Source organism: Homo sapiens, chromosome 7 (genome assembly GCF_000001405.40).
Source record: "Homo sapiens chromosome 7, GRCh38.p14 Primary Assembly".
Taxonomy (NCBI): Eukaryota; Metazoa; Chordata; class Mammalia; order Primates; family Hominidae; genus Homo; species Homo sapiens.
The window spans coordinates 51,537,048-51,555,887 of NC_000007.14; the positions used below are offsets into that span (position 1 = coordinate 51,537,048).

The 18,840-nt window shown below is 40.1% G+C and overlaps 1 long non-coding RNA gene across 1 annotated transcript in view; it reads left to right on the forward strand.

Annotated features, from left to right (window-relative positions):
* Window positions 1-7,057: 7,057 nt before the first annotated feature.
* LOC105375277 (uncharacterized) overlaps window positions 7,058-18,840 on the forward strand; it is a 35,365-nt gene continuing 23,582 nt past the window's right edge. The window contains exon 1 of the long non-coding RNA XR_927260.4: window positions 7,058-7,412. This is a non-coding gene — a long non-coding RNA (uncharacterized LOC105375277). The remainder of the gene's footprint in view (window positions 7,413-18,840) is intronic.

Consider the following 18,840-nt stretch of genomic DNA (forward strand, 5'->3'; position numbering starts at 1 on the left):
TGCGCTTCCCAGATGAGGTGACGCCCCACCCTGCTTCTGCTTGCCCTCCATGGGCTGCACCCACTGTCTAACCAGTTCCAATGAGATGAACCGGGTACCTCAGTTGGAAATGCAGAAATCACCCACCTTCTGTGTTGGTCTCACAGGGAGCTGCAGAATGGAGCTGTTCCTATTCAGCCATCTTGCCAGCCCTCCTGACTTCCTGGTTTTAGTTGGTGTGTGGTTGCTCCTCTATTTGGAAGTGGTATGAAAACAAAAAAGGGTAGTTTGGTGTAATATAATCAGGTACATATGAGTTAAGCAGATTTATTTAGCACAGGATTTCTCAGTACCTTTACAATGCAAACGTTACAATTGAATTTTTGAGAAATAGAATATAATTCCTTCCTATTCTAACTCTCCTTCTTTTCATCTCTCTGTCCCTCCCTGTACCTTTCTCTGAAGTATCTGTTGAAACTAGTATTCTCAGCAACACAAATTAAGAACAGTTGATGCATACATTGACAGTAAAATTATAGTCATTTGCCACATAATGACATTTCAGTTAATGATGAACCAACTGCATATATAATGGTGGTCCCATAAGATGATATTACTGTATTTTATTCTACCTTTTCTATGGTTAGATATGTTTAGATACAAAAAATTTACCATTGTTTTACAGCTGCCTATAGTATTCAGTCAGTGATATGCTGTACATGTTTGTAGCCTAGGAGCAGTAGGCTATACCATATAGTCTAGTTGTGTAGTTGGCTACACCACCTAGGTTTGTGTAAGTCCACTCTATGGTGTCACACAATGACTAAATTGCATAATGATGCATTTCTCAGAGCACATCTTAGTTGTTAAGTGATGTATGACTGTATTTGTTTTTTAAAATTATTTTTATTTTTATTACTTTTATTTATTTCAATAGGTTTTTGGGGAACAGGTGGTGTTTGGTTACATGAATAAGTTCTTTAGTGGTGATTTCTGAGATTTTGGTGCACTAGTCACCTGAGCGGTGTACATTCCTCCCAATGTACAGTCTTTTATCCCTCACCTCCCTCCCACCCTTCCCCCTGTGTCCCCAAAGTCCATTGTAAAATTCTTATTCCTCTGTATCCTCACAGCTTAGCTCCCACTTATGAGTAAGAACATACAATGTTTGGTTTTCCATTCCTGAGTTACTTCACTTGGAATAATGGTCTCCAGTTTCACCTAGGTTGCTGCAAATGCCATTTTTCATTCATTTTTATGGCTGAGTAGTATTCCATGGTATGTATGTGTGTGTGTGTACACACACACATATATATGTATATATATATATATATATATATATATATATATATATATATATACATACACACCACATTTTCTTTATCCACTTTTTGTTTGATGGGCATTTGGGTACAATTGCAAATTGTACCACTATAAACATGCATGTGCACATGTCTTTTTTGTATAACGACTTCTTTTTCCCTGGGTAGATACCCAGGAGTGGGATTGCTTTTAGTTCTTTAAGGAATCTCAACATCATTTTCCATAGTGGTTATACTAGTTTACATTCCCACCAACATCCACACCAACCTCTATTTTTTTTTTATTTTTTTACTATGGCCATTATTGCAGGAGTAAGGTGGTATCGCATTGTGGTTTTCATGTGCATTTCCCTGATCATTAGTGAAGTTGAGCATTTTTTCTTATGTTTTTTGGCCATTTACATATCTTCTTTTGAGAATTGTCTATTCATGTCCTTAGCCCACTTTTTGATGGGATTGTTTGTTTTTCTTTTGCTGATTTGTTTGAGTTCATTGTGGATTCCGGATATGAGTCCTTTGTAAAAAGTATAGATTGTGAAGATTTTCTCCCACTCCGTGAATTGTCTGTTTACTCTGCTGATTATTTCTTTTGCTGGCATAAGCTTTTTGGTTTAATTAATTCCCATCTATTTGTCTTTGTTTTTGTTGCCTTTGCTTTTGGGTTCTTGGTCATGAAGTCTTTGCCTAAGCCAAGGTCTAGAGGGTTTTTCCAATGTTATCTCCTAGATTTTTTATGGTTTCAGGTTTTTAGATTTAAGTCTTTGATCCATCTTGAGTTTATTTTTGTATCAGGTGAGAGATGAGGATCTAGCTTCATATGTGGCTTGCCAATTATCCCAGCACCATTTGTCGAATAGGGTGTCCTCTCCACACTTCATGTTTTTGTTTGCTTGGTTGAAGATCAGCTGGCTGTAAGTATTTGAGTTTATTTCTGGGTTCTCTATTCTGTTCCATTGGTCTATGTGCCTACTTTTATACCAGTACCATGCTGTTTTGGTGACTATGGCCTTATAGTACATTTTGAAGTTGCGTAATGTAATGCCCCCAGATTTATTCTTTTTGCTTAGTCTTGCTTTGGCTATGTGGGCTTTTTTTGTGGTTCCATTCATGTGGATTTTAGAATTTTTTTTTCTAGTTCTGTGAAGAATGATGATGACATTTTGATGGGAATTGCATTGAATTTCTAGATTGCTTTTGGCAGTATGATCATGTTCACAATATTAATTGTACCCATTCATGAGCATGGGATGTATTTCCATTTGTCTGTATCATCTGTGATTTGTTTCAGCAGTGTTTTGTAGTTTTCCTTGCAGAGGTCTTTCACCATTTTGGTTGAGCAGATTCTTAAATTTTTTTTTTTTTTTTTTTTTTTTTTTTAGCTATTGTAAAAGGGGTTGAGTTCTTGATTTGATTATATGCTTGGTTGCTGTTAGTATAGAAGAGCTACTGATTTGTGTACATTAATTTTGTTTTCTGAAACTGCTGAATTTATTTACCAGTTCTAGGAGTTTTCTGGATGAGTCTTTAGAGTTTTCTAGGTATACGATCATATCATCAGCAAACACTGACAGTTTGACTTTCTCTTTTCTGATTTGGATGGCCTTGATTTTTTTCTCTTGTCTGATTGCCCTGGCTAAGACTTCCAGTACTATGTCGAATAGAGGTAATGAAAGTGGGCGTCCTTGTCTTGTTTCTATTCTCAGGATGAATGCTTTTAACTTTTGCCCATTCAGCATAATGTTGGCTGTGGGTTTGTCACAGATGGCTTTTATTACCTTAAAATATGTCCCTTGTATGCTGATTTTGCTGAAGGTTTTAATCATAAAGGGATGTTGGATTTTGTCAAATGCTTTTACTACATCTATTGAGATGATCATGTTACTTTTGTTTTTTAATTCTGTTTATGTGGTGTATCACATTTATTGACTTGTAGATGTTAAACTGTCCCTGCATACGTGGTATAAAACCAACTTGATCATGGTGGATTATCATTTTGATATGCTGTTGGATTTGGTTAGCTAGTATTTTTTTGAGGATTTTTGCATCTATGTTTATCAGGGAGATTGACATTTAGTTTTCTTTTTTTGTGATGTCCTTTCCTGGTTTTGGTATTAGGGTGATATTGGCTTCATGGAATGATTTAAGGAGAGTTCCTCTGTCTCTATCTTGTGGAGTAGTGTCAGTGGTATTTGTACCAGTTCTTCTTTCAATGTCTGATAGAATTCAGGTGTGAATCCATCTGGTCCTGGACTTTTTTTTGGTAATTTTTTAAAATTACCATTTCTATCTCACTGCTAGTTATTGGTCTGTTCAAGGTATCTAATTCTTCCTGATTTAAGGTAGGAGGATTGTATCTTTCCAGGGGTTTATCCATCTCCTCTAGATTTTCTAGTGTATGCACGTAAAGGTCTTTACAGTAGCCTTGAATGATCTTTTGTATTTCTGTGGTGTCAGTTGTAATATTTCCCATTTTGTTTTTATTTGAGCTTATTTGGATTTTCTCTTTTTTTTTTCTTGGTTAATCTTGCTACCGGTCTATCAATTTTATTTATCTTTTCAAAGAACCAGCTTTTTGTTTCATTTATCTTTTGTATTTTTTTTTGTTTCAATTTCATTTAGTTCTGCTCTGATCTTGGTTTTTCCTTTCTTCAGCTGAGTTTGGGTTTGGTTTGTTCTTGTTTCTCTAGTTCTTTGAGGTGTGACCTTAGATTATCTTTTGTGCTCTTTCCGTCTTTTTGATGTAGGCATTTAGGGCTATAAACTTTATAGTTCTTTGAGGTGTGACCTTAGATTGTCTATTTGTGTTCTTTCAGACTTTTTGATGTAGGCATTTAGCACTATAAACTTTCTTCTTAGCACTGCCGTTGCTGTATCCTAGAGGTTTTGATAGGTTGTGTCACTATTGTCATTCAGTTCCAAAATTTTTTAAATTTCCATCTTGATTTCATTGCTGACCCAATGATCATTCAGGAGCAGGTTATTTAATTTCCATGTATTTGCATGGTTTTGAAGGTTCCTTTTGGAGTTGATTTTCAGTTTTATTCCACTGTGGTCTGAGAGAGTGCTTGATATAATTTCAGTTTTCTTAAATTTATTGAGACTTATTTTGTGGCCTAGGATATGGTCTATTTTGGAGAAAGTTTCATACACTGATGAATAGAATGTATATTCTGCAGTTGTTGGGTAGAATGTTCTGTAAATACCTGTTAAGTCCATCCATCTCTTCCAGGGTATAGTTTAAATCAATTGTTTCTTTGTTGGCTTTCTTTTTTTGTTTTTGTTTTTTAGATAGAGTCTTGCTCTGTCGCCCAGGCTGGAGTGCAGTGGTGCAGTCTTGGCTCACTGCAAGCTCTGCCTCCTGGGTTCACGCCATTCTCCTGCCTCAGCCTCCTGAGTAGCTGGGACTACAAGGGCCTGCCACCACGCCCGGATAATTTTTTGTCTTTTTAGTAGGGACGGGGTTTCACCGTGTTAGCCAGGATGGCCTTGATCTCCTGACCTCGTGATCTGCCTGCCTCAGCCTCCCAAAGTGCTGGGATTACAGGCATAAGCCACTGTGCCTGGCCTTTTCTTTGTTGACTTTCTATCTTGATGACCTGTCTAGTGCTGTCAGTGGAGTATTGAAGTCGCCCACTATTATTGTGTTGCTGTCTATCTCATTTCTTAAGTCTACTAGTAATTATTTTATCAATTTGGGATCTCCAGTGTTAGGTGCATATATATTTAGGATTGTGATTTTTTTTTTGTTGGACTGTGATTTTCTGATTGTAAAATGCCCCTCTTTGCCTTTTCTAACTGCGGGTGCCTTAAAGTTTGTTTAGTCTGATATAAGAATAGCTATTCCTGCTCACTTATTGTTTCCATTTGCCTGGATTATCTTTTCCCATGCTTTTACCTTCAGTTTATGTAAGTCCTTATGTATCAGGTGAGTCTCTTGAAGACAGCAGATTCTTGATTGGTGAATTCTTATCCTTTCTGCCATTTTGTGTCTTTTAAGTGGAGCATTTAGGCCATTTACATTCAGCGTTAGTATTGATATGTGAGGCACTATTCTATTCATCATGCTATTTGTTGCCTGAATACTTTGGGTTTTTTCATTGTGTTATTGTTTTATAGGTCCTGTGAGTTTTATGCTTTAAGGAGATTCTATTTTGGTGTGTTTTGAGGATTTGTTTCAAGATTTAGAGCTCTTTCTAGCAGTTGTTGTACTGCTGGCTTGGTACTGGAAAATTCTCTCAACATTTGTTTGAAAAAGACTGTATCTTTCCTTCATTTATGAAGCTTAGTTTCCCTGGATACAACATTCTTGGCTGATAGTTGTTTTGTTTAAGGAGGCTAAAGATAGGACCCCAATTCCTTCTAGCCTGTAGGGTTTCTGTTGAGAAATCTGCTGTTAATGTGATAGGTTTTCCTTTTTAGGTTACCTGATGCTTTTGCCTCACAGCTCTTTAAATCCTTTCCTTTGTCTTGATTTTAGATAATCTAATGATTATGTGTCTAGGTGATGGTCTTTTTTGTGATGAATTTCCCAGGTATTCTTTGAGCTTCTTGTATATGGCTATGTAGATCTCTAGCAAGGCTGGGGAAGTTGTCCTTAGTTATTCCCTCAAATTTGTTTTCCAAACTTTTAGATTTCTCTTCTTCCTCAGGAACACCAACTATTCTTAAGTTTGGTTGTTTAACATAATCCCAAACTTCTTGGAGGCTTTGTTCATTTTTCAAAATTCTTTTTCTTTGTTAGCTTGGATTAATTTAAAAGCCTTGTCTTCGAGCTCTGAAATTCTTTCTTCTGCTTGTTCAATTCTATTGCTGAGACTTTCCAATGCACTTTGCAATTCTCTAAGTGTCCTTCATTTCTGGAAGTTGTGATTGTTTTTTATTCATGCTATCTATTTCATTGAAGAATTTTCCATTTATATCCTGTATTATATATTTCATTTCTTTATATTGGACTTCACTTTTCTCTGGTACCTCCTTGATTGGCTTAATAGCCAACCTTCTGAATTCTTTTTTTGGCAATTCAGATATTTCGTCTTGGTTTAGATCCATTGTTGGTGAGCTAGTGTGATCTTTTGGGAGTATTAAATAATCTTGTTTTGTTATATTACCAGAATTGTTTTTCTGGTTCCTTCTCATCTAAGTAGACTATGTCAGAGGGAAAATCTGGGACTCAAGGTTGCTGTTCAGATTCTTTTGTCCCACAGTGTGCTCCCTTGATGTGGTGCTCTCCCCTTTCCCCTAGGGATCGGGCTTCCTGAGAGCTGAACTGCATTGATTTTTTTTTTTTTTCTGGATCTAGCCACTCAGTGGAGCTAGCTGACTCCAAGATGGTACTGCGGAGTGTGTGCAAAGAGTCCTGTGATGTGATCTGTCTTCAGGTCCTTCAGCTGTGGATACCAGCACCTGCGCTGGTGTAGGTAGCAGGGGAGTAAAGTGGACTCTGTGAGTGTCTTTTGTTGTATTTTTGTTTGATGTGCTGGTTTTGTGTTCATTGGCCTTCAGCCAGGAGGTGGCACTTTCAAGAGTGTATCAGCTGCGATACTATAGGGAGGATGCAAACTTGCCCTAGGGTTGGCTGGTTAGGTATTCAGATTTCTCAGGCAGTGGGCAGGGCCATAGAGCTCCCAAAGGATTACGTCCTTTGTCTTCAGCTACCAGGTCTAGAGAGAGACCACGAGGTGGGGGCAGTGTTAGGCATGTCTAAGCTCAGACTCCTCTTGGGCAGGGCTTGCTATGGCTGCTGTGGGGATGGGGATGTGGTTTCCAGGCCAATGGAGTTATGTCACCAGGAAGGTTATGACTGCCTCTGCTGTGTCACACAGGTCATGAGGGAAGTGAGGGAAAATCAGCAGACAGGGGCCTCACCCAACTCCCACATAGCCCACAGCCTGAAAAGCTGGTCTTTCTCCCACTGTGGCCCCTCAACAGCACTGAGTTTATTTCCAGGCAGCCAGTGAGCAAGGCTGAGAACTTGCCCCAGGCTACCGGACTCCCAGCTGAGAAAGCAAGCCGACTCAACAGTTCCTCAGCTGTCCCACAGAGCCTGAAGCAGCAATCCACCTACTTCAAAGGGTCTATGGATTCTCTCAGCTTTCCTGGCATGTTCCTGTGGTAGGTGTTGGAGCGAAAATTCGTGATGTGGGTCTCCACATGCTGCTCTGTCCATCTGAGTGGGACCTGCTAGTTTGTCCTGCCTCTTATCTGCCATTTTCCTTCAATAAATTGCTTGACTGTATTTGAATGTGGGGAAATGATGTGCCAACCTCATACCACAAGTACTGGAATTTCAATCCTGCTACCCCCAACTAAAATCTGTTAAGAGAACATGAGATTTTCCAAACAAATGCCTTAGAATGCAAACATTGAGCTGAATGATTGGAGGTGGTGGTGAGGGACAGATGGTGGCTGGGGTGACAGACTGGATCTGTATCAATTTCTAACAGAGATGACCTCTGAATCAAGGCAGGAAGAAGCCTTGTACTGCCTTGTTTTTCTCCTGACGGAATTTTCTCCATGGAAATGTTTTTGAACTAAAGGGTGTTTTGGAGCTTGGTGTGGAGCTAATGTTGTGATACAAATATATATATATATGTATATATATAAAATTTATATATATAATTTATATGGAGAGATATACATATCTCATATAAACATATATACATACATATGGAGATATACATTTAAATATATATATATATATATCTCCATATATATATATTTGTATCACAACAGAGAGAGAATTAAATTGAGTCTTGAGCCAAAATCATTTCTCATTATTTGTTTGTGCCAGAGGGTGGTGCAGCTGTGGTTGTTCAGTGCATCCCTGGATATGGCCCTGTTGTGGTCCTGGCCCCCACTGCAGAGCAGAGGGAGGCCTGGAGGACTGGGCTGACAAGGGTGTTGGAGTGTGTTTTGAATGGGGCCTGACAGCTGCATTGTGTGCTCACTCCTCAGCTGGGCTGGGTTGAGGTTTGAGAGGCTTCCTCTCTTCTCCTCTTGGCCAATTACTCACCTTTGTTGACTCATCAGATACAACCTTTTCGTTGAATCCAAGATATGGTGTGGGAATGACAGCAGCCTCTTTTCTTTCAACTGCTCTTTAAGAGCATGAGCACTTGATTTGGAAGTGCCAGGCAGGGCTCCTTTCTCTCTCACGTATTTCTTGAAGGTTTGTGTCTATAAATGTCCTCTGGGGGACTGGCATATGGCTTTCTTTTGAAGCCAGGTTTTCCTGAGTAGTGGAACTTTTGCAAAAAGAAGTTGTCTTGCTGAGGACTAGGCCTGCCTCTGCTGAGATGACAAGACAGCGAGAAGAGATTGGTGATTCAAGCATGCTTGACTCAGGGCAAGGCTAGAAGAAAAAAGAGAAGGCACACCTCCAGGGAGGCACAGGCTGTCTTTCATTTCTAAGCAATACTTAGCAAGGCTGTGGGTTATGATTTGAATAAGAGGTTAACATTGAATTTTGTGAGAGAATACCTGAAAACTCTATGAAGACATTCTGTAATTTTCCCCTAGTGACTATGTCAATATTTTTTAAAAAAACAAATTTCCAACAGTGAATATCAGAGCTGGTGAGGCTATAGCGGCATCAGCAGCATTAAGTGAGTACTTGCCCTTTGTTAGATATCATACACACAATCACTTCTAATCCCAATCTCTAATCAGCAGGGCTGACATTGGAGAAAGTGGGAACTTGCCACCTTGAAGTATGCCACTTTAGCATGGGGGTTGTTTTGAGCTCAAGGCAATTAAGAAGCAGCACATTCTGCCTGTATCTTCCTAAACGCAGTACATAAATTTTCCTTTGTGAAGGTCTTCCCCTCTTCCTACTCCATACCAGGAGGGGGAAAAACAACCATTATCTGTCATTGGAGAGAGAAGGTTAGCATGGAGATGGGTTTGTGTAAACAAACCTAACTGCAGTCACCCTTGTTTTCTGTTAGTTTTTCTTATATATTTACCTTTTCACAATTTACCACGCCTAGAAATCCGAGCCCTTTTTCCTTTGTCTTATTACTTTTCCATAATCTATCACTCTTTGTTGAAATTGTATATGAATCCACCAAATATCATTACTTCTTTAGGGTCTTCTTTCCTCTGAAGGCCTTTGTGCACATAAAAATTAAAATATTAACATCAACTAAAATTTGTTCTCCTGGCTTTTGTCAGTTTAATTTCCAGGTCCTAGTCAAAGAATGTAAGAGGGTAGAGAAAAAGTGTTTTCTTTCTTAAAATGTAATTGCTTTATAGATGAGGGAACTGGAGCTCATACCCTACCCAAGGGATGAGGCCAAGATTCTAACTCAAGGCTGTGGATCTACAAATCTTGTACTCATTCACATTACCTTGTTTCTGGTAATGCCACCTGTGAGACTTGTCTACACAGGACTGCATGCCAGGACAAAATTTTGGGACACAGCACAGCTGTGGCACAGGGTCCACATTGTTTAGACAAGCCTTTGAACACCACAATAAAGAAGTTATTCTATTTGCTCTCAATATGACATAACAGGATCAGGAGGCAGCTCTGTCTCCACCCCTGTGTGTGTCACAATTATGGGCTTTGGGGTTAGGCTGACCTAGGCTGGAATCAAAGCTTTCAATCCCCTTAGGTTTTTGAGTTTAGATAAATAGCTGAACTCTTTAAACCTGCTTCCTCATTTAAGATAAGGGACATGATAGTTTTCCCTATTAGAGTTGATGAAAAATTTTAAACAGATATAGAGTACCTCATTCATTGTAAGAGCTAATACTGTCTCTCTCTCTCACACACACACTGTCTCTCTATCTTTCTGTTTCTGCTTTGGCCACTAGGAACCTCAGAGACAATCTAGTGGCTCATCTGTACCAGTGGCATAGGCTCAAATGGGCTTTATTTCAGCAAAATTTTATTTCACTCTTCTCTGGACTTCCTGTTGCATTTCCACTTGCACTGAGCTTTTACTTAATATTTTACTATTTACTTGCATGGATTTCTGCTAAAAGCTTATAAAAGAACAATAAAATAAGTCATAGGAAATTTCATGAATTATTGCTTTCTATTCTCTAGGAGTTTGAGATTATTTTCTCTGTGCAATTTGGGAAAGCTATGTGAGTATTTGAGTTGTGCTTCTTGATATGCAGGGTCAAGGGGACACTGGAGCTGACTGGACAAGAGGAAATCCTCAACCGGTAGGGGATGTGTTAATTTCACAAAGGACTTGGTGTAGCTGACAGTCTAACCCACACAGTGAAAGAGCCAACCTATAGCTTAGTGGTTTCTCATTTTCAAAGGGGTTGGTTAGATGATTTATTATTATTAATATTATTTTTTCCCATGGTTCTGATACTACTTTTACTAATCTCACTTAATGGGTTACACTGTAATCTTCATCACCTTACCCTTTCTCTTTACCAAGAAAGAACTCTATGTTTGTTTTTAATAGTCATTAATCAAAACAATATTTGGGAGTGTCTGTGTCAGTTTCTGGCTTGGATAGTTTGGTCCATTTGTAGGGATCAAAGCTACCAAGGCCCAGCAGATTTGTTGTGGAGCAGCTGCAAAGCTGAGGAGAAGTGTATCTGAGCAGTTCTTTGCTGACTTTGTGGATGGAGCACTGGCTGGAAAGCGGTAAACCTGGATTTTAGCCACATATCAGTGTCAACTTTCTGGGTACCCTGCAACAAGCCACTTCTCTGGTTTGCAAAGCAGGGAATTAGACAAGATGGTCTCTACAGTTTCTTCCAGAGCTGCTAACATTCCATTGCTCCACACTTTTTGGCAGATGCAGCAGGAACAGCCTTTGGGAGCGGTACCATTTCCCTTGGTGGAGGCTCAGTGGCCCTGTGGGCTCTTCTCCCATCTTTTCCAGCAGTGTCCATGCCCTCACTACCCCAATACCATGCCCAGCTCCAGCCCTTCTGAGAGACACCCCATGCTGAAGATTTTCCTGACCTTCTGTCAACCACATTTCATTTGCTGCTCATCTGCTGGAAAATACCATTTCCTCTCAGGGACTTGTTAGAACATACTCTGATAGGGAGAATATGAATCTTGCCAACTTCCCAGGTTCATTCCAGGTTCTTTGCAAGAGATAGATTGCTGGGAAGTACAAATTTAACTCCCTCCCTTCAGTGAGTCTCAAATGAAAATTTTTCAAATTTGAGATATGGAAATGAGGATCTATTTCTAAGATTGCTCAGGGCACACTACAATCTTTCCCTCATTTCTGCAGATGGGACCGCTCCACACAGCAACCTGGAAGCCCTTTCCTGGCAGCAGTGATGTGCTCACCTTTGCATCCTCCACAGCCCCTGCCCTGCTTGTACAGGGTAGTTGCTTAATGAGAGCATCTTAAGTTAAAGCAGTGCATTTAGTCTGTGAATTCCCTGACTTTCAGCTATTTCAGGGGTTAAGGATAAACTAAAAAATATGTAGATAAGGCCGGGCATGGTGGCTCACACCTGTAATCCCAGCACTTTAGGAGGCTGAAGCAGGCAGATCATGAGGTCAGGAGTTCGAGACCAGCCTGGCCAATATGGTGAAACCCTGTCTCTACTATAAATACAATAATTAGCCAGACGTGGTGGCGCACACTTGTAGTCCCAGCTCCTAGGGAGGCTGAGGCAGAAGAATTGCTTGAACCTGGGAGGTGGAGGTTGCAGTGAGTTGAGATCGCACTACTGTACTCCAGCCTAAGTGACAGAGCAAGACTACATCAAAAAAAAAAAAAAAAAAAAAGTAGGGAAAGGGCAGGGGGTGGTGGGTGAAAGAACATGATGGAATGAATTAATTGATGTCAGGCTCATTAGTTGAGAGTTCTTTTCATAGTGACTTCAATTTATTTCTTTTTTTGTGCAAGCATTTGTGAAATATTTTGAGTGAGTATAGACTGCTGAAAAGTTATTTTTCCTTATTACTATTATGTTACCTCTTGCCAGTTACAATTGTTAACTTCTTTCAGAGTAGGCAAATTTATCTGTAGCTAATCTCAGCAGTTTCTGGATTCCTTTGAATTGTTTTGATTCTAAAGCGATAGGACTTGCAAAATATAGATCATTTTAGGTGAGCTCTCGCTCAAGTTGTTGCATTTTTTAATCTATGCTGTTGTCAAAAGCTGCACCCAGGTTATATCTTCACTTCCCATCTAACTTGATCCTTGATGAGTGCCCTCCAGCATTCCAACTCTGGCACAAACATCATGTAGTGTAATTTAACCTAATCCAGCCCAGCAAGACTGAACTTTCAACAGTGTTATTTTGGAAAGTGCCTATTAAGTGCCAGAAACTATGCTTGCACTGAGAGTATGAAAATGATTGGATATTACTCTTGTACTCAAGCCCATCTGATGGGCATGCCACCTACAGTCTCCTTCCAGGGCAAGCAGGAGAATGGAAGGATACCGGGCCTGGAGAAGTGGAGAGGGGTGCAGCTTCCCAAGTGCTGAGCAAGGAAGAAGCTGAGCATATGAGGAACAGAAGGAAGTCATTGGGGGAAACATGTTCTGAAAACAATGTGAGGGAAGAAAGCTAGCAAGACCCGAGGCTGGAAGAGATGGGATGCCACAACAGCGAGTGAGAGAGAGAGAAGAGAAAATGGTGAAACAGCCAACTCCAGAGAAGAGGTCAGGGGGTTTCCCAGTCTCTTTTCATAATTACGAAGAAGCCATGGGAGCAGCAATGCTTGGGTATACAGAGCACTGCTGGGGTGACCCGGCCATGCAGTGCTACTCTTAGCAGAGTTGCAGCCATACCTTGGGTTTAGCCTGGGTAGGGCTGAAAAACAAACCCAGGGGTATTCTTGAAAATAAGGGCCTACAACAAAATTTTTGATGAATTTCAAGAACAAGTCTCATAGGAATGATAGATGCAAATGATGGGAGAGTGAAGCCAGAGGGCAGGATTTTCAAGTTTGTGTCTGTGAAGCAGAGCCATTCTGAGTCACAGCCAAGTTCAAGGATGAAGTTACATTGCTGCTTACAGGTGACTAGGAGTAGAGGAGTTTTGAAGACAAGTGTTACATACATCACCCAGGTGGGTGCTGAAGTTATTCAGGGTCAGGGGAGAAGAAAAGGCAGGCAGGGAAATGGGACAGGAGCCATGGCCCTTGGAGAATGTGAGAGTCCAATAATGCAGGAAATTATGCAGCAAGGGCTGGAGAAGAGTCCACAAGAGAGAGAAGGGGATATGAAAGGAAGGTGCTTCTCTGGGTTTATCCATTTTTCTTCTTTTTTTTCTTTTTTTAAATTTCCACGTACTTGTTAGGGCTGTCAATCTCAGCAATCCTCCAATCCCCACCTCAGGAATGAGCATATGACCGAGGCCCGGCCAATCCTAGCATTCTTACCAAGTAGCTGGTCCAGTGTTTCATTCCAAGAAAGTTTAGTTTGGTTTTGTTTTTTGCCTTGTTCTTTATTCTATTGATATAGCCCAAGCACCCAGAACAGAGGAATTTGGTAAATGTTTTTTAAATAAATGGATATAGATATTGGAAAACAATTAGGGAGAGTTGCTAATCTGGAATAATGGGTGCTGGGGCTGCTGCCAGCGACCTTGCCCATCTCATGCGTAAGCTTTTCTACAGAATAAAGTTAACCAGAGAAAATCAGAAAAGAGAGATGAGGACAGAGTGAGAGGAAGGGGAGAGGAGGAAAGAAAGGCCTGGCTGCAGTGAATCCCTGTTCCAGTTGTGGAAACCACAGCCCTGTCAGACCTTCCTTTGAAGCCACCTCAGCATCCTTTCCAGTGTGTAAGCAACACAATCCCTGTTAGTTGCTCTGGTTCACTTTCTATATCTGCAGTTGAAAGAGAGCTAGCACAAGAGGTGAGCCAATGTTCCCCAGTGTCTTCTGGCCATGTTGAGCTAGAACAGTGCCGCCCTGCTGCCGGGGATAGGAAGCCCAGAGGAAATGTGCCACCTCCACCTGTGCCTTCAGTAGGACTGCCACAGGCACCCAGCTGGTGGGATGCGGGGCACAGACTTGCCTGTTTCCCCAGCCTCTTGGACTTTATGGACAGCTTTTAAAACACAAATACTCATGAGCACTAGCAGGAAGGCCTTACACTGTATCAGGATTATTTTAAATAAGAGCCAGATGGACCACCAGGATTGAGCCTAATGATCTCATCGTATGTCTCAAAAAGCCAAAGCCTAGAGAATGAAAAGCCTGTCCTAATCACTAGATTAGCACGTGGTCTGGCAAAGGCTGGATACTGCCAAGACATTTATGGAATGATGAATGTGCTCTTCTGAAATGAAGAGTGATGACTACAAGATAGAGACAGGACATCTGCTCACAATTGACTGGACCCAGCATATTTGCTTGGTTGACAGGAATCAAGGTGCTGAGAGAATGGGGGCCCAGGCTGGGGTTGGTGGAGCATATCAAAGGCAGTGGGCGCCGTCTTCCCAGCTTTGCCTTCTGCAGCTTGTGCCAGGTGCCACACAGCAGAAGTAAAGGCATAAAGGGATCTCTTTTATTGACTATGAATGTTTTGTTCATTATTCACCATTAATTTATATTTGCTGAGACTCAGCTATATGCCAGGTACAGTGTTATCTCCAGTAGGGGCCATGGTGATGAATCACCAAAGTAAAACCATTTTTGATATGGTTTGACTGTGTCCCGATCCAAATTTCATCTTGAACTGTAGTTCCCGTAATCCCCATGTGTGGAGGGAGGGACCCAGAGGGAGGCAATTGAATCACAGGAGTGATTTCCCCCATGCTATTCTCATGATAGTGAGTAAGTTCTCATGAGATCTGATGGTTTTTTTTTTTTTAGAAGTTCCTCTCAGTATTTATTTATTTATTTATTTTTATTACACTTTAACTTCTAGGGTACATGTGCACAACACGCAGGTTTGATATATAGGGATACATGTGCCATGTTGGTTTGCTGCATCCATCAACTCATCATTTATATTAGGTATTTCTTCTAATGCTATCCCTCCTCCAGCTCCCCACCCCCCAATAGGCCCAGGTGTGTGATGTTCTCCACCCTGTGCCCAAGTGATCTCATTGTTCGATTCCCACCTATGAGTGAGAACATGCGGTATTTGGTTTTCTGTCCTTGTGATAGTTTGCTGAGAATGATAGTTTCTGGCTTCATTCATGTCCCTGCAAAGGACATGAACTCATCATTTTTTATGGCTGCATAATATTCCATGGTGTATGTGTGCCACATTTTCTTAATCTAGTCTATCATTTATGGACATTTGGTTTGGTTCCAAGTCTTTGCTATTGTGAATAGTGCCACAATAAACATATGTGTGCATGTGTCTTTACAGTAGCATGATTTATAATCCTTTGGGTATATACCCAGTAATGGGATTGCTGGGTCAAATGGTAATTCTAGTTCTAGATCCTTGAGGAATCACCACAGTCTTCCACAATGGTTGAACTAATTTACACTCCCATCAACAGTGTAAAAGCATTCCTATTCCTCCACATCCTCTCCAGCATCTGTTGTTTCCTGACTTTCTAATGATTGCCATTCTAACTGGCGTGAGATGGTACCTCATTGTGGTTTTGATTTGCATTTCTCTGATGACCAGTGATGACGAGCATTTTTTCATGTGTCTTTTGGCTGCATAGATATCTTCTTTTGAGAATTGTCTGTTTATACGTTTTGCCCACTTTTTGATGGGGTTGTTTGTTTCTTGTAGATTTGTTTGAGTTCTTTGTAGATTCTAGATATTAGCCCTTTGTCAGATGGGTAGATTGCAAAAATTTTCTCCCATTCTGTAGGCTGTCTGTTCACTCTGATGGTAATTTATTTTGCCATGCAGAAGCTCTTTAGTTTAATTAGATCACATTTGTGAACTTTGGCTTTTGTTGCCATTGCTTTTGGTGTTTTAGTCAGGAAGTCCTTGCCCATGCCTATGTCCTGAATGGTATTGCCTAGGTTTTCTTCTAGGGTTTTTATGGTTTTAGGTCTAACATTTAAGTCTTTAATCCATCCTGAATTAATTTTTGTATAAGGTGTAAGGAAGGGATCCAGTTTCAGCTTTCTACATATGGCTAGCCAGTTTTCCCAGTACCATTTATTAAATAGGGAATCCTTTCCCCTTTTCTTGTTTTTGTCAGGTTTGTCAAAGATCAGATGGTTGTAGATGTGTGGTGTTATTTCTGAGGCCTCTGTTCTATTCCATTGGTCTGTATATCTGTTTTGGTACCAGGACCATGCTGTTTTGGTTACTGTAGCCTTGTAGTATAGTTTGAAGTCAGGTAGTGTGATGCCTCCAGCTTTGTTCTTTTTGCTTAGGATTGTCTTGGCAACGCGGGCTCTTTTTTGGTTCCATATGAACTTTAAAGCAGTTTTTTTTCCAATTCTTTGAAGAAAGTCATTGGTAGCTTGATGGGAATCGCATTGAATCTATAAATTACTTTGGGCAGTGTGGCCATTTTCACTATATTGATTCTTCCTATCCATGAGCATGGAATATTCTTCCATTTGTTTGTGTCCTCTTTTATTTCCTTGAGGAGTAGTTTGTAGTTCTCCTTGAAGAGGTCCTTCACATCCCTTGTTAGTTGGATTCCTAGGTATTTTATTCTCTTTGAAGCAATTGTGAATGGGAGTTTGCTCATGATTTGGCTCTCTGTTTGTCTGTTAATGGTGTATAGGAATGCTTGTGATTTTTGCACATTGATTTTGTATCCTGAGACTTGGCTGAAGTTGCTTATCAGTTTAAGGAGACTTTGGACTGAGACGATGGGGTTTTCTAAATATATAATCATGTCATCTGCAAACAGGGACAATTTGACTTCCTCTTTTCCTAATTGAATACCCTTTATTTCTTTCACTTGCCTCATTGCCCTGGCCAGAACTTCCAACACTATATTGAATAGGAGTGGTGAGAGAGGGCATCCCTGTCTTGTGCCAGTTTTCAAAGGGAATGCTTCCAGTTTTTGCCCATTCAGTGTGATATTGGCTGTGGGTTTGTCATAAATAGCTCTTATTATTTTGGGATACATTCCTTCAATACCTAATTTATTGAGAGTTTTTAGCATGAAGCACTGTTGAATTTTGTCAAAGGCCTTTTCTGCATCTATTGGGATAATCATGTGGTTTTTGTCATTGGTTCTGTTTATGTGATGGATTACATTTATTGATTTGCATATGTTGAACCAGCCTTGCATCCCAGGGATGAAGCCGACTTGATCGTGATGGATAAGCTTTTTGATGTCTTGATGGATTAGGTTTGCCTGTATTTTATTGAAGATTTTCACATCGATGTTCATCAGGGTATTGGTCTAAAATTCTCTTTTTTTGTTGAGTCTCTGCTAGGCTTTGGTATCAGGATGATGGCCTCATAAAATGAGTTAGGGAGGATTCCCTCTTTTTCAATTTATTGGAATAGTTTCAGAAGGATTGGTACCAGCTTCTCTTTGTACCTCTGGTAGAATTTGACTGTGAATCCATCTGGTCCTGGACTTTTTTTGGTTGATAGGGAATTAATTATTGCCTCAATTTCAGAGCCTGTTATTGGTCTATTCAGAGATTCAACTTCTTCCTGGTTTAGTCTTGGGAGAGTGTATGTGTCGAGGAATTTATCCATTTCTTCTAGATTTTCTAGTTTATTTGTTTAGAGGTGTTTATAGTATTCTCTGATGGTAGTTTGTATTTCTGTGGGATCGGTGGTGATATCTCCTTTATCATTTTTTATTGCGTCTATTTTATTCTTCTCTCTTTTCTTCTTTATTAGTCTTGTTAGCAGTCTATCAATTCTGTTGATCTTTTCAAAAAACCGGCTCCTAGATTCATTGATTTTTTTGAAGGGTTTTTTGTGTCTCTGTCTTTCAGTTCTGCTCTGATCTTAGTTAGTTCTTGCCTTCTGCTAGCTTTTGAATTTGTTTGCTCTCGCTTTTCTAGTTCTTTTAATTGTGATGTTAGGGTGTTGATTTTAGACTCTTTCCTGCTTTCTCTATGGGCATTTAGTGCTATAAATTTCCCTCTACACTCTGTTTTAAATGTGTTCCAGAGATTCTGGTGCGTTGTGTCTTTGTTCTCATTGGTTTCAAGGAACATCTTTATTTCTGCATTCATTTCATTATTTACCCAGTAGTCTGTCAGGAGCAAGTTGTTCAGTTTCCATGTAGTTGTGAAGTTTTGAGTGAGTTTCTTAATTCTGAGTTCTAATTTGATTGCACTGTGGTCTGAGAGACAGTTTGTTGTGATTTCTGTTCTTTTACATTTGCTAAGGAGTGCTTTACTTCCAATTATGTGGCCAATTTTAGAATAAGTGCAATGTGGTGCTGAGAAGAATGTATATTCTGTTGATTTGGGGTTGAGAATTCTGTAGGTGTCTATTAGGTCTGCTTGTTGCAGAACTGAGTTCAAGTCCTGGATATCTTTGTTAACCTTCTGTCTTGTTGCTCTGTCTAATATTGACAGTGGGGCATTAAAGTCTCCCATTATTATTGTCTGGGAGTCTAAGTCTCTTTGTAGGTCTCTAAGGGCTTGCCCTATGAATCTGGGTGCTCCTGTATTAGGTGCATATACATTTAGGATAGTTAGCTCTTCTTGTTGAATTGATCCCTTTATCATTATGTAAT